The sequence below is a fragment of the Homo sapiens genome, chromosome 14 (assembly GCF_000001405.40).
Source record: "Homo sapiens chromosome 14, GRCh38.p14 Primary Assembly".
In the NCBI taxonomy this organism is placed as follows: Eukaryota; Metazoa; Chordata; class Mammalia; order Primates; family Hominidae; genus Homo; species Homo sapiens.
Window position 1 is genome coordinate 74,588,432 of NC_000014.9, and position 24,577 is coordinate 74,613,008.

At 52.4% G+C, this 24,577-nt stretch overlaps 1 protein-coding gene across 1 annotated transcript in view, besides 2 other annotated features; it reads right to left on the minus strand.

Annotated features, from left to right (window-relative positions):
- The window catches only part of LTBP2 (latent transforming growth factor beta binding protein 2), a 114,055-nt gene extending 90,249 nt beyond the window's left edge, over positions 1-23,806 (minus strand). The window contains exons 1-2 of the mRNA NM_000428.3: positions 23,020-23,806; positions 15,204-15,274 (exon numbers count right to left, since the gene is read on the minus strand). Of these exons, the coding sequence (NP_000419.1) occupies positions 15,204-15,274; positions 23,020-23,513 (565 nt within the window). The 5' untranslated portion in view covers positions 23,514-23,806. The remainder of the gene's footprint in view (positions 1-15,203; positions 15,275-23,019) is intronic.
- Positions 23,862-24,489: an enhancer, noted in NCBI's record as "H3K4me1 hESC enhancer chr14:75078996-75079623 (GRCh37/hg19 assembly coordinates)". NCBI's record gives its function as "activates a minimal SCP1, AML or CMV promoter by ChIP-STARR-seq in naive H9 embryonic stem cells {active_cell/tissue: H9 hESC(naive)}" and the evidence as "EXISTENCE:reporter gene assay evidence [ECO:0000049][PMID:30033119]".
- Positions 24,117-24,436: a silencer, noted in NCBI's record as "silent region_5932". NCBI's record gives its function as "represses an Ori minimal core promoter by ATAC-STARR-seq in GM12878 lymphoblastoid cells {active_cell/tissue: GM12878}" and the evidence as "EXISTENCE:reporter gene assay evidence [ECO:0000049][PMID:35858748]".

Genomic DNA, 24,577 nt, shown 5'->3' on the forward strand with positions numbered 1-24,577 from the left:
GCTGGTCTGAAACTCCCGACCTCAGGTGATCCGCCCACCTCGGCCTCCCAAAGTGCTGGGATTACAGGTGTGAGCCGCCGCACGAGGCCGCTGCCATTAGTTTTTTTATGCATGTGTCTCAATTTCCTGACTCATATAGTCAGCCCCTTGAAGTGTAGTGACTGTCTCTTACACCTCTTTGTAACTTTAGCTCCTAACATATGCCTAACAATAACATGATTATTATTATTTTTATTATGGCAGATACTGTCTGATGAGTGTGACAATAGGCCTGGCACCGTGCTCTGCATACACGCTCTCACTGAAGCCTCTCGACAATTCTATGCAGCAGGTGTGACTATGATTCCCATTTTACAGATAATGCTGCTGAAGCTCAGAGAGGTTAAGAGACTTGCCTGAGGTCACCCAGCTAGTTAATGGTGGAGCCAGGATTCAAATCTAGTTCTATGTGACTGAGAAGCCCAGGCTCTTTCCACCCCCACTGACTCCCAGAAGGGTGGGCATGGTTCTTCTTCTTCCTCTCTACTATTTCTGAGCCTTGGCCCAGAGCTGATAAGGAAATAAAGGGGATCTGTTGGCTTCAAGTCAGCCACCAAATGCACCCTTGGGAACTCTGCCCTGAGAAACTGCACATCTCAATTGGCCCTGACAGTGGAGACCCCAGGACCACACACCCTTCCAAAGCCCACACAGAATTTTTAAATAATGATGGAGGATGTACGTCATCTCATGGGCTTATCCAATGAGCATTCGTAGAGCACTCACTGGATGTGAAGCTTGTGATAGTGTCTCCAGCACACTGTCTGACACGGAAAGTAGAACACACAAGTTATATGACAAGTGCTATGTCAGCTGGACCCTCTAACCCAGGCTGAGGCAGGGAGTAGGGAAAGTCAGGGAAGGCTTCTTGGAGGAGGTGATGCTGACCAGAGACACAAAGGATGAATAAATTGGACATTGTGCACCAAGGGCACTCAAGACCAGTCTATCAGCAGAGAGCATGGGAAATAACAGGTTTTAATAGCATTCCAACCACAAGTTGGGCTCTGAGGCCAGAGCATTTTTCTTCATGCCCAGGCACCTCTTCCTGGCAGGCTCCAGGCCTCTAGGTAAAACCATGTCAGAGAATTGTAACCCAGAGCACTTCCCCAAACACAAACTGCCACCACGGCAGGATTTTGGCCTGGCCACCCCTCCATCTGCCCAAGCATACTTAGTCCCCACCTGACCACCTGCCAGGCCCCTGTCACCACCACCACTGGAAACATGGTCAGCTGGGGCCAGCCCAGCAGCCACGCCAGTGCTAGTGAACATGGAGGAAGCAGATGTGCCCAGGGCAGGTCTCGGCCTTGGGGTTTTTTTAGGGAGGGAATAGAATGGGAAGGCCTGAGTGATCTCCCACATGGACCCACACCTCTCTGCCACAGAGACCCAAAGCCCGGCGTGGGTGAGAGGAAGGTCATGCAGCTTCCACCTCTGAGTGTGTGGTCCTTGCCCCGAGGATGGCCTTTGGAAAACAGTCTAGCTTCCATCCTTCCCCTCCTGAGCCCTGAGAACAGCCCATCCTTCACATTAACAATAAGATCCTTCATACAACAAATATATGAAAAAATGTTCAACATCACTCGTCATCAGGGAAATGCAAATTAAAACCACAATGAGATACCACCTTATCCCAGCCAGAATGGCCATTACTAAAAAGTCACAAAACAATTGATGTTGGCACAGACATGGTGAAAAGGGAACACTTATACACTGCTGGTGGGAATGTAAATTAGTACCACCCCTATGGAAAACAGTATGGAGATTTCTCAAAGAACCAAAAGTAGGTCAACCATTCAATCCAGCAATCCCACTACTGAGTAAAGGCAAAGAAGTCATTCTATCAAAAAGACACCCGCACGTGTATGTCTACTGCAGCACAATTCATGATTGCAAAGATATGGAACCAACTTAATGCCCATCAACCAATGAGTGGATAAAGAAAATGTGGTGAACCCCATCTCTACTAAAAATACAAAAAATTAACCAGGTGTGGTGGCAGGTGCCTGTAATCCCAGCTACTCGGGAGGCTGAGGCAGGAGAATCACTTAAACCCAGGAGTGAGCCGAGATCGTGCTACTGCACTCCAGCATGGGCGACAGTGAGACTCTGCCTCAAAAAAAGAAAAAGAAAAGAAAAAGAAAATGTGATATATATATACACCATGGAATATTACTCAGTCATAGAAAAGAATGAAATAATGTCTTTTTGCAGCAACTTGGATGGAGCTGGAGGCCATTATTCTAAGTGAAGTAGCTCAGGAATGGAAAACCAAATACATGTCATCACTTACAAGTGGGAGCTAAGCTAGCTAAGCTATGGGTATGAAAAGGCATACAGAGTGATACAATGGACTTTAGAGACTCAGAAGGGAAAGAGTGGGAAGGGTTGCGGAAAAAAAACTACATATTGGGTAAAATGTACACTACTCCGGTGATGGGTGCACTAAAATCTTAGACTTCACCACTAAACAATTTATCCATGTAACCAAAAACCATTTGTACTCCAAAAGCTATTGAAATTAAATATATATATAAAATAAGATCTTTCACTGTCTAGAAATCCAAGACCCCAAACCCTGTGAGCCAAGCCCCTACGGCACACCACGACTCACTTAGCTCTGGTTCTGCCTTGCTTGCTAATAATACATTCCGAAAACATGTAGTGAGCACCTTATCTTGATCAGACTGGGTGCCGAGGCCAGAAAGGTGAACAAGACTGGGCCCTGCAGAGGGAGAAGCCCTGGCCAGTGGGGGTTCCCACATTCCTAGAAACCATTTTCCAAGCAGGGAATTAGGTCTTCAGTGAGGGTTAGGGCTGGCAAACTTTGGTTGGTACAATGAACAAACAGCTCATGGGAAATGAGTGGTTAGGGGGAACTGTGGAAATGGCATTTAGTATATAATAGCCTAGTAAATCAAGTTCTAAAAGGCTTCCAAACCAGCCAGACGTGTTGGTGGGAAAAATCCCCTCAGGAAGGTAACCCTTCTGAATTAACCATGTAGGATGCTGTGCAGAGGCCCAATCTGCTGAGGCAGAGCCTCCAAGAAGTTTCAGGTTTTTGGAGGTTTAGAACCAGCTCTCGCCGGCTTCACTCGCATCCTCTCTTGTTTTCACAAGTCTCGGCAAGATGCCTGGAACTACCTGGCTTCCTCACGGAAATTAAGCATTGTGTTTTGAGCTGAGTGTTTGCATTATGGGATTGAAGTATGTAGACTCCTCTCCTCTCTCTCCATTCCCCCAAAAGTCACCCCTAAATGGTCCATGATGGTGGCTTCCAGTGCCTGTCTATGAATGGGACAGTTCTGACAGTTTTTACCCATCTGCCATAAAGTCAGGAAAAGAAACACTTTCCTGGGTTGTTTCTTTTTCATAGGCTATATTTTTCCCATCTAAAGAGTGTCTTTTGAGATGATGTCTTTTCTACATTTTTGGAGTTAAAATGTTCTTTTTAATTAAAGGTGATGACAAGTGGTAATTAGTTTTGTTTTTTGTTTTTTCCTGATGGCTTCACTTGGAAAAATGAAAAGCTGGCCACTGCATGTTGGTACTTAAGATATTTTTGGAAACATTACTGATGCATGAAGTCCAGTGACCCTTCGGGAGGGAGGGGCAATCGTGGTTGTGTGTCCTTTTGTTTAAAGGAGACTGAAGTGAAACATTCCTATGCCAAATGAGCATGATTTCAAAACTTAAATATCCAAAAGGAAATCGGCCATCTCAGAATCTCCAGTGGCAGAGGCTATTGCTTAGAGCAAAGAAGGAAACGCTGAGGTCCCAGGAGAGGCAGTTCCATGCGGTGCTGTGGGAATTTTAAGAGAGAAAACCTCCATCCATGGTGGGCCAGCGAGTCTTCATGTTTTGCCCTTGGAGTTTGATGCCTCCAATTTTTCCTCAATAGTAGAGATCCTAGAGGTGGGTGCGGTGGCTCACGCCTGTAATCCCAGCACTTTAGGAGGCTGAGGCTGGAGGATTGCCTTAGTCCAAGGGTTGCCCAGCCTGGGCAACAGACCAGGCCTTATACTTATATATTTTGTAGAGTGGGACCCCATCTCTACAAAAAAAACTTTAAAAATTAGCTGGGTGTGATGGTGCACACCTCTAGTCTTAGCTACTTGTGAGGCTGAGGTGGGAGGGATCACTTGGGCTCAGGAGTTTGAGGCTGCAGTGAACCATGATGGTGTCAGTGCACTCCAGCCTGGGCAACAGACCAGGCCTTATACTTGAGAAATCAACCTAGTATGGGTTATGTGGTTCTAATGAATCTCCACTTGATTATTGGTCCGTTTATCAAGCATGATACCGCGATGTCCACATTTAGCCTGCGGGAGTTGATCTGCAGAAGACGGAATACCCCCCAGCCCCTGGGACAGTACCCTCGGACAACCGGAAGACTACACTGTGACGAAGCCTCCTCGCTTGCCAATGCCAGTCTCTAGCCATTCGTAATTTGGGCTCCTCCAGGACCCTTTCTTTTCCACACCCCCCTGGCCCGCTCTTCACTGAGCATTAGAGAGGTGGAAAGTCCCAGCTTTGGGTGTTCCGCTCTGTGGAGTCAGCAGGACGCCAAAAGAGGAAGAAAACTCCTGAAATTGCTTTAAAAGCAAGAAATAAAAGGCATTGTTCCCCTAATCTCCCCATGTTCCTAGCTGAGCCCCTTCTCCCTTCACTCCACCCCAGAACAGTCAACAGAGGTTTGCTCAGATTTTCCACACAAAACCCCTACTTTTGGGAAGGGACCAAACTCAGAATGGGCAGGCCTGGGAGAGATTCTAGAAACAGCCCCTCCCGACCACCCCATGCAGGCTGCTCCTACCATCTGCTCAGAGCCCCTGCTCATTGGCTACTGGGTAGTAGCAAGAACACGGGGTCGGGGGCAGGAGGATTGGTTTGGTTTGACCCCAGCTCTGCTACATCTCAGCTGCATGACCTTGGACACATGTCATCTCGCTGAGATGTCTCCACCAGTGTGCCAGTGGCCTCGTCCACGATATGGGGCTGATAATTCTTGCTTCAAAGAGCTGTTGTGAGTGTCAGCTGAGCACCTGGACGTGGGTGTACTTTGTACTCTCTAAAGCTGTGCTGTTCAAGAGAGTCTCACACTGTAGCCACGAACTGTATGTGGTTATTTAAATTTAAATGGATTCAGATTAAATAAAATTTAAAATTCAGTTCCTTCAGTCTCACAAGCCATATTTCAAGTGCTCGATACCCACATGTGGCTCAGGGCTACCACACTGGACAGCAAGATATAGAACATTTCCATCATCACAGGAAGTTCCACTGGCCAGCACAGCAAAGCCTAAAACAACAACAAAACTAACCACTCCCCCAGAGGCCAGATGGCCTCTGAGCTTCTTGGCTATGACCCTTTCCCCAGGAAAGGGCAATGTCAACTCAGGCCCTCAGGATAAAAATCCAATCTAGCTTATAGGGCTGTTGTGAGGATTAAAAATGAACAATATGAAGCGCTTAGAATGGTACCTGGCGCACAGTAAGAGCTATCACGTTCATATCATTCATCCCCAAAACCAACTCTATATAGATTGTTATGCCCATTTTATGGACGAGGCCCTGTGGCTAGAAAAGGCCCAGTCACTTGCCCCAGGACACAGAGCTGGGACTCAAACACGTCTCCAGGGATCAAGCCCTGGTTACAGAGATAAACAACCAAGGGCCATGGTGCTGGGTGGGGACTGCTTTCTAGGTGTCAAATATAGCCAGGCCCCTCCCCACTGCCACCCTACCCCCCGGGCAAGGCGTTTGTCATCGGCTCTCTCTCCTGGGCCCCAGAGACACCTTTGCCCTCCATCTATGACCCGTTAGATAGAGGAGGCACCAACTTCAGGGTGGGCCCCTTTAGCCTCTCCCTTCCTCAGTGGCTTCCAGTGCCACCCGCTCTGGTCTGGGGGAAGAACTTCAACTCCAGACTCTGGGCCCAGCCCCCCATTCCTGAAGCTCAGCTGCTTCCCAGGTTAAACCTCCATTTTCCCTAAAATCTGTGCCAGTGGGATGCTAAGACCCTATCCACTGAGCCACCCGATCCCCTCCTCAGGCCGGGGCCCTGTCCCCTTTCACAGCTAGAGGCCTTCGCAGACGGGACAGTTTGCACCTCATCCACAGTATTTACCTCAGACACCCCTGGGCATCCAACTTGGGACCCTCACCTGGAGACCTCAGTTTGTCCCTGGAATCTGCTTACTGGGGGGTCCACCTGTGGCCCTGAGCTGTTTCTCCACAACCTTGACTTTTGGTTTCCACAGGAAGGAGAGGGACCCTGATGTCAGAGATCCCCTAGCCCAGGGAATCCCTGTCTGGCTCACACCCACACTCGGAATCCACCCTCGGAATCCACCTCAGAATCGCTCTCTCCACTCTCAAGCTCTGCCCAGGGGCTGTGTCTCCCAGGCCCTGACTGAGGACCCGAGCCCCCAGGCTGTGGGAGAAGTCAGGGCCTCAGGGGCTCACCCAGCTCCCACACAGCTGTGCCAGGACCATGGCTCAGGACGGCTGGAAACTGCACTGGGGCTCAGGGGCCGGCCAAGTGCCCAGCTCCAAAATAGCAGTTGTGTTCGCATAAAACCTCCTAATGAGAGAAAGATGCCGTTCTTGGCCCCTCACTTGCTCTCTGCAGACGCTGTCTGGCAGACCAAGCGGGCCTCTACCGTTTGGGTTTGGCGGCTGGAGGGGAGGAAGGGGAGGTGTGAGTCAGACCTTGGCCCCCAGCCCTTCAGCATGGACCGCCCTGTTAATTGCATTAACAAATGCTGCAACACTGGGCCAGGTCAGGGCTGGGGAGCCGCGGGGCCAGGGGCTGGGGCAGAGAGCAGCCCCAATCCCACCGGCTCCAGCAGGCATGAGGAGGAAGACTCTGGGCCCAGCTCATGGCCCAGGGCTGAGAGGCCTAGGCTCCTCTCCAGCTGCTGCCCCAAAGCAGAGAAGAGTTGTCTGTCCATCCCCACAGTCCCAAGGCTTGTCTGGGAGGAAGCCTCAGTGCCAGAGGGGCCCCAGAGGTGAGACAGGCTGGGAGGGGTCCCTGGGGATGAGTCTTTTCCAGAGAAGCAGCTTCCAGGGGAGACAGTTCTAGGCTGGAGTGGAGCCAGCCATCCTCCCACAGCAGCACCAGCCCCGCGCCCAGGCCCAGGATGGTCGGGAAGGATGAGAACACCACCCCAAACACTGACAAATCAGAGAGGCCAGGGCAGGGGCATGAAGGACAGTTTGGCCCTGCAGTCGGAGACCCATGTTTGAGTTCTGACTGTGGGATCTCACCTGGGGCCAGTTTCATCACCTCTGTGAGCCTCAGTGTTCTTCTCTAGAAAACAGTAATGCATTCAAACGCACGATTTGCCAGGATGGCAAACAAGAGAGACTGTCCTTTTGGGGCTTACAATTTAGTCAGAGGGACTGTCACTCAATAGGTAAACAAAGAAGTGGAGCAGGATGGGCGTGGTTGCTCATGCCTGTAATCCCAGTACTTTGGGAGTCCGAGGCGGGTGGATCACCTGAGGTCAGGTGTTCAAGACCAGTCTGGCCAACATGATGAAACGTCTCTACAAAAATACAAAAATTAGTCAAAACGTCTCTATAAAAATACAAAAATTAGTCAGGCGTGGTAGCACACACCTGTAATCCCAGCTACTTGAGAGGCTGAGGGAGGAGAACTGCTTGAACCTGGGAGGCCGAGATTACAGTGAGCCGAGATTGCGCCACTGCACTCCAGCCTGGGTGACAGAGCCAGATGCTGTTTCAAAAATAAATAAATAAATAAATAAATAAATAAATAAATAAAAATTAAAAACAAAGAAGTGGAGCAGAACTTGGTACGTGAGGGATGGAGGAGACAGTCGAGGGCCCAAGATCCAGAAGAACAAGGCCGGTGGGGGCCACTCAAGCAAGAGTGGCCAGGGCAGCCCCTCTGAGGAGGACACCTCAAAACAGAGACTGGGTAGATGACAAGGGCCAGCCGCACAGAGAGATGACGGGGAGCAGACACAGAGGCAGCAGCATGTGCACCAGCCTAGAGGCCAGTGGCCCAGGCTGCACTCAGGGAGCTGGGTGAGTGTGGAGATGCCGCTGCAGGAAGTTTCAGGTGGGATGTGTTGAGGGCGGCAGGGAGAGCGGGCAGCAGGCTGTGGTATCACCCAGGAGAGCTGTGACAGGGCCCTGGCCCAGAGAGGCAGCAGGGAAGCAGGCAGGTCCACGAGGGACTGAGGAAGTAAAACAAACAGGGCTTGGTAATGGGTTGATGTCAAAGCCTGAGTGAGAGGAAGGTGTCCCTGTAGCCCCTGGGTGGCTGGCTCGAGCAGTCAAGTCGATGGGGGTGCCAGTTAACAGAGTGAGTAAGACCTGCACGGGGGAGTTAGCTCAGAGGAAGGGAAGTCACGAGTTCATTTTAGACAAGTTGGGATGAGGATGTCTGGGAGACATCAAGCGCAGATGTTGAGCAGGCAGCAGATGTGAAAGACTGAAGGTCAGACAAGAGGCCTGGCAGAGGATTCATGTGAATTTGGGCGTCATTGGCCCGGAGATGATGTTTACATCCATGAGAAGGCAGCAGATTGTTCCGGGAGCAATGCAAAAACAAAATAGAAGACCCCAGACTAAGTCCTGGGAAACCCACAGTTTAGTAGTGAGCAGAGGAGAAGCAGCAGCCAGGGACACAGGAGGGGACCAGGACAGAGAACACCATGAGGGTTTGAAGGAAGATGGCAGCATTTGGCACATCCAGGCAGAGTGAGCCCCGGGCATTACTGTTAGTATTGCATGTCAATTGTCGGGCACAGTGCCTGCTGGCACTCAATACCCAGGGGCAGTTCATGCTCCGCTTGGCTCCTATGGCCTCCCTCTTTGGGGTGAGGGATTTGGAAGGTCTGGGGAAAGTCCTGGGGAAGCCCAACATTAAGACGTCAGGTAGAGAGGGAGAAGCCAGTGAAGGAGACTGAGAAGAGGCAGCTGGGGATGGAGGGAGGAAACTGCCAGCCACCCATGCCATCATTTCCCCACTCAGCTCTTTGATAAACAGGTCCCAAGCATGTACAAAGGACACAGGTGTGGAGAGAGGGCCAGGCACTCCACTGGTGTCAGCAGGACACAGCACCTGGCTTCAGGAAGCTCCCAGTCAAGGACATCTCCTAATCACCTCGTTGGACAAAGAGCCTCAGGGTAACCTGCTCCCCAGGAAGATCTCCCCAGGAAGGGTACCCCCATGCAGGGGTAAGAAATGGACAGGGTCTCTTGATGAGAGTGCACCCTACATATCAGCTGGGTTCCACTGAGGTCATATAATTATTACCCTTCGCCACCTCCCACCTTCCTCTCCACCACTCCCTGCCAACTTCAGAGTCCCCACTGGCTGGTTCATCCGGAGATGAGACTTTCCTGGCTCCTGGTTCCTGGCTCCTGGTGGGTGCTAACCAGTCAGTGAAGATGAAAATCCTACCCTTGCCCTTACTCCTTTTCCTAAGGCTTGTTAAGCATTTCCCACAGCGAGGTGCTGCGCTCACTGCTTTACATGTATTACCTCACATAAACATCTCATTCTTATAACTACACTGGGTACTACTCTCATCCTCATCTGACATATGGGGAAACTGAGGCAGAACCATCAACAACTTGCCCAAGATCACCATGCTAGTAAGTGATGGAGCAAGGGTTTGAACTCAGGGAGCCTGACTCCAAAGCTGGGGCTCTTAGCCACCTTGCCACAGTCTTCCACTTTGGGATGTGGTTGTCATGAATGGGGCAAACAGGCTCCCTCAAGGAAGCCAAGGAGGAGCTCAGATCAGGAGAGACAGGGTTCTCGTAGGACTGAGATGGGGACTTGGGGAAATGCCATTCCATTGCCCACGTGATACACGCAGAGAAATGCTCAGGCCCACTCCAGCGTCACCATCCCCAGGATCCCCTGAACACCGTGGGGAGTTTCTGGAAGGGCTGATAGAACTTGGGCAACAGAAAGGGCTCTCTCAGGCACACGGCCGGGATAGGCTCTGTATTATTCAGTATACACTTATGGACCCTTTACCTTGTACCCAGCGTGCTGCCTGCTGAGGGTGGTGAGACACAGTCCCTGCCCTCAAAATCAAGGCCAAACATGTATAGAGTGCATCGCACATGCCAGGCCTTGAGCTAAACATCTGACCTAAGTGACGGTGTTTGTTCCTTACAACTCTGGGAGACAGGGCCCAATGTTGATCCCAGTTTACAGAAGAGGCAACCGAGACACAAAGACTTTAAGCAGCCTGCCCATAGCCCCTCAGCCACGTGGTGGAGCTGAGAGCTGACATTTAAACCCAGGCAGTCCAGCATGGTCTCCTGATCTAGCATTAAAATACCAGCTAAACTTAGCCTGCGCCAGGCTGTCTACACACATTTACTCATTTATCAGAAAGCACAGAGCTAAGCCCTCGCACTCTGGAACCAGGCTACCTGGATTCATGTCTGGGCTCTGATGAGTCTCAGAGGCATGACTCGGACAGACAGCCGACCTCATTTGTAAATGGGGATAAAAAATCCAATCTAGCTTATAGGGCTGTTGTGAGGATTAAAAATGAACAATATGAAGTGCTTAGAATGGTACCTGGTGCACAGTAAGAGCTATCGCGTTCATATCATTCATCCCCAAAACCAACTCTATATAGATTGTTATGCCCATTTTATGGACGAGGCCCTGTGGCTAGAAAAGGGCCAGTCACTTCCCCCAGGACACAGAGCTGGGACTCAAACACGTCTCCAGGGATCTGGTGCCAGAATCCAAAGTACATGCTCTTAATCTCGAGCCTTGCTGCTGGGGGCAGGAGTGGGAGAGTAACTTGCCTGCCCCCTCCTCGACAGCTGCAGGGATTCTCTTCTGTCCTCCCCAAAGCAGCCCCAGCCCCTGTGCGTCCAGGCTGAGATAAAATGAGAAGTCTAGGGAGTATTCAAATCCCCTTCCCCAGTTGGGGTGGGGTTGGGCGGGAGCCAGTCTGGGAAGAATGGACAGTCTTCCAAAAGCTGCAACTATAAACAGGACACTGTCACTCCACACCCTCCAGTTCTTCCCCTCTGCTGGGCAGGGCCCGGCAGGCCGCAATCAGCTGCCTCCACAAATACATAAACACATAAGTCCCGAGAGAGAGCTGGCAAAGCTACAGAAGGAAAGGCAGATACCAAGACTGGAGGAGGAGATGGCGGCCCAGCTCTAGCCCCCGCCAAGGTGGAAGGAGGGGCTGGGCTTCCAGCAATGGGCACCTGCAGAACAGGGCGGAAGGAGGGCAGGCCCGGGAGATGGACTGGTGTGTGACAGTGACCTGGGATTGATTCTGCCAGAGGCAAGAGAGGGCAACTGAGCAGGAGCCAGCACTCCCTGAGCATGGGCAGTGGGTTGGGCCCACAGATATCTGGGAGAGACTGAGTCTCCCTGTGGTTCTGGCACTAGACTTTACTCTTGGCAGTGGGGGATGTCAGCCCCCATCTCTCACTGGCCCAGGAAGGCATCCCTTCATGTGTGAAACTGCTAGGACAGAATCATGAACATTCCCCAACATTGGCAGTCTCTGCCCCAGCCAGGAGGGCAGCTGTTGGGAGGGGAGAGGGAGGTGCGGAGCCACAGGGGTGGGGGAGAGCCAGCTGACGGGGTGTGGAGCCAAGAGCCCCACCTTCTGCGGAGCTCTGGATGAAGCCATCCAGTGCCAACACCCCACCGCCCGCCTGCGTGGGTTCTCATTAGGCTTATTAGCAGCCAAATAGCAACAAGCAAACAGCACAGGGACCAGTTAATGAGCACACAGCCCTGCCACGGGCGAGCCAACTTCAAGTGGGAGGGGCTGTTGCCCACTGGCAACTCCCTTCAGGAGAGCAGCTGGCCTGTATGCCTGGGTCAGGGTGGGTGACCGGGGGCAGCAGGGTGAGACGGCCAGGGAGAGAAATACCAGGGGAGAAGGTATGGCAGCATCCTACCTCAGCATCCTGGCGCAGCACCCACTGGGGCACAAGGATGCCCCCACACACATGCACTGGTACTGTAACAGTATGCAAACTCACTCAACCTTGAGTTTCTAGGGTTGAAACTCCAGTTTGGCAGAGAATAACACTGGAACATCACTAGCAAGTTAGGAAACCGAGAACCTCCAGGGCTGGAGGGCCCAAGTGAGACCTATGCCCAGACCCCTGGGGCAGCTGGGGAAAGGCCCACCCCCTATGAAGCCACCCGCTGCAGCTTCAGCTCAAACCTCAGCAACATTCTCCATCAGCCAACGCTGCCTCCCAACCTCCCAACAAAGGCTAAGCTCTCTCAAACATACCAACCCTCTTCCTCACCTCCAAGTCCCAGTCCCTCCTGCCCAGGCCTCCTGAGTCCTGGAAGGCCCTGCTACTCAAAGTGTGGTCCCTGGGCCAGCAGCGTCAGCGTTCCTGGGAGCTGGTTAGAACATAGAATATCCGCCCCACCCCAGATCTGCTGAATCAGAATCTTCTCTTTGATGTGATTCCTAGAGGGTTGGGGGAACATTCAAGTTTGAGGAGGGCCCCCAAGGCAGATCTTCCTATGACTGACCCCCAACTCTGCTCAGTGATTTTTGACCACACCTAGAATCACCTGGGATGCTGTTAAAAAAATTACAGTGCCAGGCCCCAGCCCCAGAGCCTCTGCTTAGCATAAAGCCACCTGGCCGCCCACATCCCTGGCTTCTCTACCCAGAGGAGTTGCTCAGAGCTGATTTTGAGTCTCAGGTTCTTTTCCAATAAGGTGTGTGGCCTTGAGCAAGTCACCGCCTCTCTGAGGCTCACTTTCTTCTTTAAAATTATGAGGGGCTGGGCGTGGTGGCTCACACCTGTAAGCCCAGCACTTTGGCAGGGTGAGGTGGGAGGATCACTTGAGGCCAGGAGTTCGAGACCAGCCTAGCCAACATGATAAAACCTTGTCTCTACAAAAAATTAATTAATTAATTAAATAAAAATAAATAATGAGGGACAAGTGTTTCTCCCCACCGGTGCCCCTGACCACTGAGGGCCTGACCTCTGAGCCGCCCCCAGGCATCCACGTTCCCTGAAAAGGAAAGGGTGTTTAAGCAGATCTGCTTCGTTGTTTGTTTTTGAGTTTTTGGCTCTGGTTCTGTTATTTGGAGGTCCTAGGAGGGACCCAAAATTCTGCCTGAGCTGCATCTTCAAACAGGCAGAGGGTCAGGGCCACGAGGCCTGAGGCAGAAGCCAAGAGCTTGGTGAACCCATATCTCCAGACTCGCGGGAATGGGAGCAATCGCATCGCATCCCATCAAGTGGGGTGTTAGGACAACCACGTTATCATACGTTATCATAGAATAACGTATGATGTTCCCAGATGAAGGCATCCATCATGCTGGGAACATCATACGTTTTTTCACACACCTGGACTATTAGCTGTGAAGCCCTCCTACCGAGAAGGGCCTGGGGCTGGTCCTTGAAGGAAGGGAGCTGTTGAGACTGAGGCTTTGCAGCCAGGCTTGGGACTGGCAGAGGCAGGGGCAGTCACCTGAAGGATAGTCAGGTGGAGTTCCTGGGGAGCTGATGTGGACCCAAGAGGGGCCTGTGGGAGGAAGGAGAAAGATCCAACGGGCTCCCTCAGACTCCCATATCTGCTATGGTCTGTGGGGATTCCACACTCTGGAATATCCAGGCCTCGCTGGTGTCGGGAGTGAACGAAGCCCAGGAGATCGGAGCCTGGAGTTCTGGAGTCAGTCTGCCTGGGTCCAGCCCGAGCTCAGCACTTGCAGCAGCAGAGCTTGGCCGTGTTTCCCAAGCAACCCGAGCTTCAGCTTCCTTATCTGTAAGCCACGATGATAAGCATACACCTACTTCATAAGATGATTGACAGGTCGAACTAAGATAATGCATGTGAAGAGCTTAGCGCAGTGTGGGGCACTAGTACATACTCAGTTGTTAGCTAATAGTAGCAGTAGCAGCAGCAGTGACAGCAATAGTACCATCACCTCCAGTTCACAGATGCAGAAAGTGAGGCCCAGAAATGAAGGTAAGATACCTGGCAGCAGGGTACAGGTATTAAGAAGAGGGACCCTGGTGTCAGGTTGTCTGGATTCAAATCCTAGCTCTGCACTTCCTGACTACATGACCTTGGACAAGTTACCTGATTGTGCTTCACGTTCCTCATCCACCCGCCACAGAGGATGTTTAAAGTGCACCCTGCACAAAGTGAGTGCTATGAAGGTACTGGCTCTTGTTGTTGTTAATGCTCCTGATACCATCAGTGGAAGAGGCTCAGGTGTGAAGGCTCTAGCTCTTCCTAACTCACTCCTTGGTTTCCACAAAATAAGATGGCTTTTCTCTCCTTCGAGCCAGCCTGCCAGGCATCAGAGCAGTCCAAGGGGAGACGGCTCCAGGCATGGGTCACAGTGTCATCTGACCATCCTGGTAGAGTGGCTAACAGAGGCCAGGGCCATTGGGCCAGGGGCCAGGGCAGAGGTGGATTCTCATCACATGCTACATGAATGGTGCCCTTGGAAATGTGGGATGCGGAGGCTCTGGGCCAGGCATGTTCTGCAGAACATAGGTGCATGCAGTCTCCTGAGACCCTGCCGGCAGTGTGAGTGGGGCCAACACAGTAGGACAGCAGGAGGGAGTGCAGGAAGCTTTGAAAACACAAGCAGTGATTTGATTTGAGAAGCTGTGTCCAGCTGGAGGCATTTTTTTTTCTTTTTGAGAAGGAGTCTCGCTCTGTCGCCCAGTCTGGAGTGCAGTGGTGTGATCTTGGCTCACTGCAAACTCTGCCTCCCAGGTTCAAGTGATTCTCCTACCTCAGCCTCCCGAGTAGCTGGGATTACAGGCACCCATCAGCACGCCTGGCTAATTTTGTGTTTTTAGAAGAGACAGGGTTTCACCATCTTGACCAGGCTGGTCTCCAACTCTCGACCTCAAGTGATCCACCCACCTTGGCCTCCCAAAGTGCTGGGATTACAGGCATGAGCCACCGCTCCCGGCCCCAGCTAGAGGCATTTTTAAACCTCTTCCCTTCCATTGGATGTTGCCTCCACTTTAAATAGGGGCTGCATCTTCAGGACGCAGACTAGGAAAGACGCTTCTGCTCCAGGTTCTGGAGTACCTAAGCTTGACCTGCCCTGGGAGTAGGGTGGGGAATGGCACTTCACGTTTGATAGAGCGGAGTGTCTGCTACTGGTGGAGGCACTCACGTTTGATACAGTGGTTGGTGCTGTTTGCTGTTGTCCATCCTGGGCAGCACTGTCCCCCGCAGACGTTCCTCCTGTGGGGTCACCAAAACAGAGTCAACACAAGGATGCTCAGAGCTGGGGACTATTCACAGCCCCTCCGACAGTCCCACCTTCTAGAGGCAGGGCCTGGAGGAACATGGAGAGGCTGGGAAGGCTGTCCCTATTCTACTTGCAAATCTAAGATTGAATCCTGACTCTGCCATTCTCTGCACATCCCTGGGAAACCTCACTCTCTCCATCTGTACAATGGAGATAACAATAGCTGCTTAATTGAGTTGTTATGATGGTTAAATGAGGTGAGAATGTTTAACATCTGACATAAAGAAGGCAGTCCACTGGGGCAACAATGACAGTGATCCTAAAGCTAATAAGCCACTTCAGAGAGGTTCAGTGACTTGCCAATTCCACACAGCAGGTAAGTGCCAGAGCCTGATTCAAACCTGGGTTGGCCCAACTCTAAGCCATGCTCCAACTCTACATTGCCTCTCACCAAAAAAAAAAAAAAAAAAAACCACACACACAAAAAAACACCATGGTCGTTGCCCTACCAATGCTGACGATCCAAGGGAGGCTGGAAGACACACATAAAACAGTCTCAAGGTCATACGAGGTGTTACCTGCCAACGAATGCACACTGAGGAGTCTCAGCCCCCGGCAGTCTGGTGCGTGGGAAGGCTGAGCCCTGAGTGGGCACTGAAGGAACAGGGCTCTAGAATCCCTGGTTAAGAGGTGCTTACAAGGTGGCAAGCTGGTAGGAGGATGGGGCTGGGGATGTGGGTTAAGCTGCCTCTGCACAATTTTTATGTGGAGGCACAATTTTTATTTGAGAGGCAAACAGGACTTACTCTATAGCGAAATAGAGTTCTTCCATCAACTACTCCTTTTTTTTTTTTTTTGAGTCTCACTATATCGCCCAGGCTGGAGTGCAATGTCGTGATCTCGGCTCATGGCAACCTCAGTCCTGCCACCATGCCTGGCTAATTTTAAAAATATTCTTAATAGAGATGGGGTTTCACCATGTTGGCCAGGGTGGTCTCAAACTCCTGAGCTTAGGTGATCCACCCACCTCGGCCTCCCAAAGTGCTGGGATTATAGGTGTGAGCCACTGCGCCCAGCCCTTCAGCTACTCCTTGATGTTGGCTCTGAGGGCACCCCCATGAGACGCTGACCTACAGTGCTGGGGCATTCACTCAGCTCCCCAAACTTTGCTTCCGGGTGTCTGGCGCACTCCAGCAGCACCAGCAGTTTCCACCCGGCCCTGACTCTGCAGCTAAAGACCCACATGCCTAGACCAGGGCGTCTCCCTAGAAGGGCTTCTCCTGGAGATCTCTAGGGACTGACTCCTTGGCAGGCTGGGCCGGGCTCTGGCTTCCATCCTTATCATTGGAAATCATCACCGGGCACTGGAACTAGAGGGTAAGAGGGGAGGGAGAAGTGCAGAGGCTGGACAGGCAAAGGACAGAGCAGGGCGGCCACTCCTGTGATCTCTGTGGCCAGCATGGCGACATCTGGTCCCACTTAGGAGTTTGTTTGACATTTGAGTGGACCCCAAAGCTTATGTGGTTTTTGGAGTCTTACGAAGAATTCAAAATAAATTCCTGCAGCTTGAAAAAGCGGAGGCCCATTCCTGGCCCTTTGGCCCAAAGTTGTGGGCACTGCCTCCCTCCCAGGGAGCTCCCAGAATGTCCCACCAGCCAAGAGTTGTGCCACTTGGGCCACCTCAAAGCCTCTCTGGGCGACCACCGTTAGCAGCTTCCTGGCTGCATCAGGGCCCATGTCACGGGGGTCAGGGAAAGGGCTGCTTGTCAGACCCAGAGTTTCCGGGGGTGCGCCCCAGTGGAAGGGGAAACTACGTACCCACTTTTATGTCACCACCCCTTGTGGTGGTGACAAGACCTCTCGTGGGGCTAGGAGGGCTCTGAGAGGAAACAGATTCTGTGCCCTGGGAATTTTCTAAGAATTAGGGCCTGTGGGAACCCAGACAGCACGGACGCAGGAGCCTGCCTGGCTGGGAGGTCATGGCATGGAGCCCAGCCCAAGGAGGCCCCCTGAGCCAGCCGTCACCCCAGCTGCCCTCAGGATGGCTTTGCAGCTGACTGTGGGAGGGCAGGGGCCAACCTTGCTTTGCCTGCACAGAGTAGGCCCTAAGGGATGTAAGGCCACGTGAGGATTGGCCAGAATCAAAGGCTGCCAGGCAGAGAGGCCAGGCTGGGGCTGGTAGGGCACTCAAGAGAGATTCAGGTCCCCAAGGAGAGTCTCTAAGGATCCCTACAGGCCAATATTAAAGTTTTGGGTGCAGGCCCAGGGAGGTAACCAGCTGGGAATTCTGGGAATTGTCAGTTCAGTGGGCTCTGGCTAGCAGAGAGAGCAAATGAGCCTGAACAGCTGGGATATATAATTCAATCACTCTGACTCCCTAGAAGGTACCTCTCAGAGATCATCTGAGTCCAGTCTTCCAGTTGACACCACTCAGCACACATTAGCCCAGTATCCAGCATCACTGTAGGGAACACATCTGGCTAGCAGTCTGGGAGAGCTGCTATTCCACCTGGGCCAAATCTGATCACACTAGCCCTTTGTTAAAAACCTCCCACAGCTCTCCACTGGCCTCTACAAGGCCCCCTGGCACCCATGTGCCTACTTTCCTGTGCAGTCTAATTGTCCCCATCACCCCCACCTTGTCTCCACAACCATCCACAGCCAAGGCTTTGCTCCTCCAAGGATACAAGGTTTGTTGCTCCCCAGTTACCCTATGGATTTCACTTCGATGCCTTTGCCTGGGCTGCTCTCTCTGCCTAGAATGCCTTTCCTCTCTGGTCTACTGATTAAAATCCTTTGCATACTCCAAGACTTCCAGATCAGATATTACCTTCTTTGTATAAAACCTCCCCTGGGCCAGGCAAGGTGGCTCACACCTGTAATCCCAGCACTTTAGGAGTCTGAGGTGGGCAGATCACAAGGTCAGGAAATTGAGACCATCCTGGCCAACACAGTGAAACCCCGTCTCTACTAAAAATTAGCTGGGCATGGTGGTAAGCACCTGTAGTCCCAGCTACTCACTCGGGAGGTTGAGGCAGAAGAATTGCTTGAACCCAGGAGGCGGAGGCTGCAGTGAGCAGAGATTGTGCCACTGCACTACAGTTTGGCGACAGAGCAAGACTCCATCTCAAAAAACAAAACAAACAAAAAAAAAAAACCCACCTCCTCTGACATCTACCCAGCCTTCCCTCATTCTCCATCTGCATCTGCTGTGATCACTTAGTACTGCCTGTCTCAGGTCATTGGTTGTATCTCAGTCTTGGGTATCTAGAGGTTTCTTTCTTATTTCTCCTTGTGCCTCTACAGTCTAACACAGTGCCCAACATGTGGTATACAATTGATACTTGTTTCATTTAATCTGGAGTTTCACAAAAAGTGGGATGAGCCACTGAGGGTAGGAAAGGCATTTTAAGTTTACAGATCACAACATTCAACAATCTGAGTTACATGGTGAGAAAGTGATTCTCTTTTTGGTGATCCTTCTAACCTAATGATGTCAGTGAAAAAGGCCACGTCCTCCCCTCAACACACGCTAGTCCCCCTTCCAATAGAGGGAACTTGCCACAGAGTTGAGCTTCCTAAGACAATGAATGAAGTCTGACTAGAACTTAAGAACATTTTGTTTTCATTTCAATTTTCCTACAGTTATCTTCTCTTTATAACAAGTGGTACTGCTTTCAACTTATGATAATGATACAAAGTTTCCTTTCAGTTATGAATTTATTTATGGAGAAAAATGAGTCAAGCACTGTCTGTAATAGCAAAAAAATTCAGTAGAATTTTTAGAAAATTACTTTTAGAAAAAGTAATTCATCTAAATGTCCAAAAACAGGAGGATGGATAAACTGTGGTAATATTCAGACAAAGGAATAATATACAACAGTTAAAATGAATAAACTTGGGCTAATTATATTAACATGGTTAAATCTCAAAAATCTAATGAGGAGGGGAAAAACAAATTGCAGAAGAATAATGAAATAGGGTCTCACTTATCTAAGTTTAAAATATGCAAAACAACATTGTATATTTTGTGGATACATGTATCTATAGTAATATTGTAAAAACATCTATTGGAATTAATTAAATTCAGGGTAGTGGTTAACTCTGGGGAGGGAAGGAGGCAAATTTATAGAGGAAATTTCAACTAAAAAACTGGAATCAAAATATGTCAAAATATTAAGGTTTGATAAAACTAGACTATGTTTTTTTTTTTTTTTTTGAGACGGAGTCTCGCTCTGTCGCCCAGGCCGGACTGCGGACTGCAGTGGCGCAATCTCGGCTCACTGCAAGCTCCGCTTCCCGGGTTCACGCCATTCTCCTGCCTCAGCCTCCCGAGTAGCTGGGACTACAGGCGCCCGCCACCGCGCCCGGCTAATTTTTTGTATTTTTAGTAGAGACGGGGTTTCACCTTGTTAGCCAGGATGGTCTCGATCTCCTGACCTCATGATCCACCCGCCTCAGCCTCCCAAAGTGCTGGGATTACAGGCATGAGCCACCGCGCCCGGCCAAAACTAGACTATGTTATATTATTTTCAATACCTTTTAGTGCATTTATAAAACTTCATAATATACTTTAAAACAGATAAAACACAAAATCCTGTTATTTTAACAGAATATAAAGTTAAAGAAAAATAATAACAGAACAAGAGGGAAAGGTAGAGAAAAATATTATACAGGTGGTCTGCTGTGAGGCTGGTTCAAAAAACCCTATAGAGGCCAGGCGTGGTGGCTCACACCTGTAATCCCAGCACTTTGGGAGGCCAAGGTGGGTGTAGTGCTTAAGCTCAGGAGTTTGAGACCAGCCTGGCCAACATGGCGAAACCCCATCTCTACTAAAAATACAAAAAATTAGCCGGGTGTGGTGACGTGCGCCCATAATCCCAGTTACTAGGGAGGCTGAGGCACGAGAATTGCTTGAGCCTCGGGGGTGGAGGTTGTAGTGAACCGAAATAATGTCACTCCAGCCTGAGTGACAGGGCAAGAGACTCTATCTCAAAAAAAAGAAAAAAAAAAAAAGAAAAAAAGAAAGAAAGAATAAAGAAAAGAAAAGAAATGAAAAAGAAACCCTGTAGACTGTAAATTTCATTAGCGTAGGGACGGTGTCCACTCTGGTCACTGCTGTATCCCAAATACCTAGCATCAAGCCTGGCACAAACTTAATAAGTCTTTATTATGTGCAATAAATCTTTTCTACATTGAAAGTTCCATGAGGACAGAGTATGCCTGTCTTGGTCACTGCTATATCCTCAAGATCCAGTATAGGGCCTGGGTATAGAAGTTCTTCCAAAATATTTGTCGAATGAATGAAGAAGCTCCAGTAGCAGTGGTGCAGTTCCAAGATTCACCAGGAGGTGGCACTTGGTCCCTGGCTGTCTGCAGCTCACAAGGCAATGAATGGCCAACCTGATCAGCCTGACTAGAAGCCATTAGCCAGAATGGACCAGGGTGGAGGAAGAGAATAAACAAGATGACCCCTCAGGTCCTCCCCAGCTGACATGGAGTGGCTGACTGGAGTGTCAGGGAACCCACTCTTTATCAAAGCTGCAGAAGACAATGTGGGGGAGGAGCCTGACCAGTGTGTCATGTGATGTGTGCACCTGTGTACAGCAGGTGGCACCCAGCCCATGTCTTCACATGCCTGTTCACATCCACCAGCTTTGTTGTAGTGACAATTCGCTTTATTTCATGACTTCTAATAGTGCACCCTCCAGCCCCCACGCTCCACTTCCCCACCTTCCCCCGCACCTCACCTGCACCTAAATGCCTGCAGTACAAGCTCCTCCCTGCTCCAGCCCAAGCTATGTCTCTAGGTTCCCCTACACCAAAGCTGCAGTGCTACCCCTGGGCCAGTGCCAACAGTAAAAAGCCCTTGTCCTTGGGCAGTGCTACATCTGCACACCACCCTCACCTCCAGGCCCCCCTCCTGCCACCTCCCCTCTGCTTCCCCACATGCTGCCCACAGAGCCCCAGGGGCCCCAGGTCACAGGTCCCCTCTACTCAGCTCTTCAGCTACAGTTGCCCCACTCCTTTGCACTTAACAGGAACCTTCCAGTACTAGAAAGCATCTGTTCATTTCTTCAACGTGATATTAAGTAATTGGGTTGCTCTCCCAGCAGGAACAATGCCTTGGACTCTGGGCCTCCATCCCCTTTCCCATGCTCTGCACGCAGGATCCTTGGAAGCATGCATTCACTTGCACAGATCAGGAAAGGAAAACGCTGAAACACAGCAGGTGCTTTCCACTAAGACTTGTTGAATGATCCTATGTGTAAGCGACTTGGCAGTGCATGGGTCTACTCTCTGCCTGCTTGAAGCTGGGCCTTCCATGGGCAGCAGGGAGTTCATCCACTCATTCAACAGATACCTAGAGAATACCAACCAGTGCAGGCACTATTCTAGGCACAAGAGACACAGAAATGGACACAACGAAGTCCCTGTTTGCATAGAGCTTGCATTAGTGTGGGCTGGGAGGCCAGGCCATAAACACATAAATAGGAATAGAACATATCAGATAGAATAAGTACTATGAAGAAACATAAAGCAGGGTGAAAGGAGAAAGAGGATGGGGCACGGGTGGCCAAAAGTCACTCTGAGCAGAAATCTGAAAGAGACAGAGCTCAATCCTGCTGAAATATGAGAAGAGCGCTCCAGCCAAGGAAAACAGAGCGCCAAGGAAAACAGAGCGCCAAGGCTGCGAAGTGCAAGGTCCTTGGAGTAGGACTCGGGGTACAAGTGTCTTTCATGCTGTTCCCCAGGACTAAACCCAACTGGCAAATCGGGCCCAGGCAAAGAGAGGCTGCCAAAGCCCTTCCCAGACTTCCCGATGGTGCCCCCACCCAGCCCCTCACTGCCCAGGGCTCAGTGCCCTCCATTCCAGAGGCACCTGCCATACCCAGGCAAGGCGGAGCGTGCCCGCAGCCATGATGATCCGATTGGGGATGGGGATTACTGGGGCATCTTCTCACTCTGCGACGGCGCCCGCGGTGGGCAGGGGGTGGTGCCCAGGGGGAGCAAAAAAGTAAATTGCAGGGTTGTGCGGTGGCTTAGCCCTGCAACGCGCCCAAGTCACGCTTACACCTAGATGCACAAGAGCACACTGATCCAATTCTCCACGCGCCCACTGTGTCGCAGCCTCATCAGGACACGCTTCCCGCCCAAAGTACCCAGAGCTCACGCCCACGCCCGCATCCAGCCCTCAGCGTGCGCAGGCCGACCCACGCCCCACGACACTTGTCCCGACGCACCAGCTTCGCTGCCGGCTCCCCTCCTGGAGACGCATCTACCTTCTCTCCATGGGGCCCCCGACACCTCCGCCAACCCGCGCTCTGAGCCAGCTCAACCTCCCCTGGGCGTCAAGAGCCTGGAGCGCCCACCCTCCTGCCCTCTCCCCGCTGCCTCTCAGATCCCGGCAGCGCTGCAAGAGTCTACAAGAGCTCGTTAGTTGCAGGCAGGAGGAACGCGGGCGAGTGGAGAGGCGCCTTGCGAAAGGATTTAACGTCGGGGCTCCGGGAGAGTTGGTAAGAAAGGATGAGGATGATGATCTATCTGCCTTCAACTCTTCGAAAGCGGATCAAATCTTCCAATCCCGATTTTGGAACCTCGGGGCTGTTTCCCGAAGTACTAAAGACAGAGGGACGAGGGTATGAGAGCGGCGCCCTCTCCTCTCGCCTGCACGCCCCTCCACAAATGAGCCCTGGCTCCCCTCTGTACCCTCCAAACTTCCCTCTCCCATGCTCACCCCGTGAGCCGCCCTCGCGGCGGGGTTGGGGGCGCAGCCCCAGACCGCTGTGGGGTCCCCAGGCGTGGGAGAGCCGGCGCGGCCCGGGTCCGGGGTGCTGGTTGCTGCTGGCCCAGGGGAGTGCTTCTCCGGGTCTGCGCAGGTGGCTGGACACGCCGCGACTGCTGCGCGCGGGACGGCCTCCTGGCCTCCGCCTCGGTGGGCCTCCTGGGGCTCCCCCAGCCCGGCTGGGCCCGCTCCACGGGCTGCAAGCCCGCGACAGGCGCGTCCTGCTCCCGGAACAGACTGTACACCTTGGCTGCAGCCGCTGCCGGGTAGCTGCCCCCAGGGCGCCGCAGTCGATTCGCGTCTCCACCAGCCGGCTCGTATCTCCCTACGGGGTCCCTTTGGGCATGACCCGCGCCCACGAAGAGAGCCAGGGTGAGCGGCAGGAAGCCTCTCCAGGGGTTCCGCAGGGCGCGCCCCGGGCTGCGGGCTTTGGTCCGCGGCCTCATGGCGCGGGGCGGCTGGAGAGTGGTGCGCGCGGGCACCGCGAAGAGCTTTGTGGTCGGCACGCTGGACGCCCGCGGGCTGTTCTCCCGGCCCCGCCCGGCGGCCAGCTTCTCTGAGTCTAGGGGGCCCTGAAGCGGCCGACTGGGGGCCCGGCTCTCGGCGGAACGAGGGCTGCGCGCCCCGAGCCTCGAGTCCGCGCTCCTACTCCAGCTGGGCTCGCACGGCTGCTGCACCTTCGCGCCTCCTCCCTGTGCCTGCAGCCGTCTGAAGGGGACCCGGACGGTTTTATTTTTGGAAACCTCCCCCGGCTTTTTCGTCTCTTTTATCCACACCAGGCCCCCTCCTCGGAGGGACAGCTCAGCCCCCTCATTACCGGAGAGGGAGCGAGGAATTCCAGCAACACCCACTTTGGCACCGGGAAGCCAGCGGGCGGCGAGCGGGCGGCGAGGGGGATTAACCCGTGCGGAGCAGGGGGCGGCGCGGGGCTGACCCAGGCGCTGGTCGGGCAGATGGCGCCTGCCACGACCGGGACACTGGGCCGCCTTTCTCCTGCTCTGGGCAAGTTCGAACTGCAGACCTGCCCCGAATCGTTCTCCCGCCCCTCGCCTCAGGGACCGTCTTTGGATCGGGGGACCCAGGCTGCAGCCTTGCAGGTCTGAAGGAAGCCGGGAGGGGCGCCGAGGCCCGCGTAGGGGAACAGGGCCGCCGCCCCCTCCGCTTGCGCCCTGGCCGCTGGGGGCGCCCTCCGCAGGGCCGGCCGGAGCGGGGGTGGCGCGGGGCGGGGCGCGGCGCGCGGAGCGCAGGGAGGTCCCGGGCGCGCCCCCTGGCGGAGCTGGCGGCCCTGGCGCTCCGTGGCTGCAATGCCCTGGCGCCGCCGCCTTCGCTCTGGATCTCAATCCCCTTCCACTGGCGTGAGGGTCACGCCTGAGCCTGGCGCGGTGATGGCTGCCGGTAGAAGAGGGGTCCTCTTTTTCTTTTTCTTTTTCTTTTCTTTCTTTCTTTCTTTCTTTTTTTTGAGACGGAGTTTCGCTCTTGTTGCCCAGGCTGGAGTGCAATGGTGCGATCT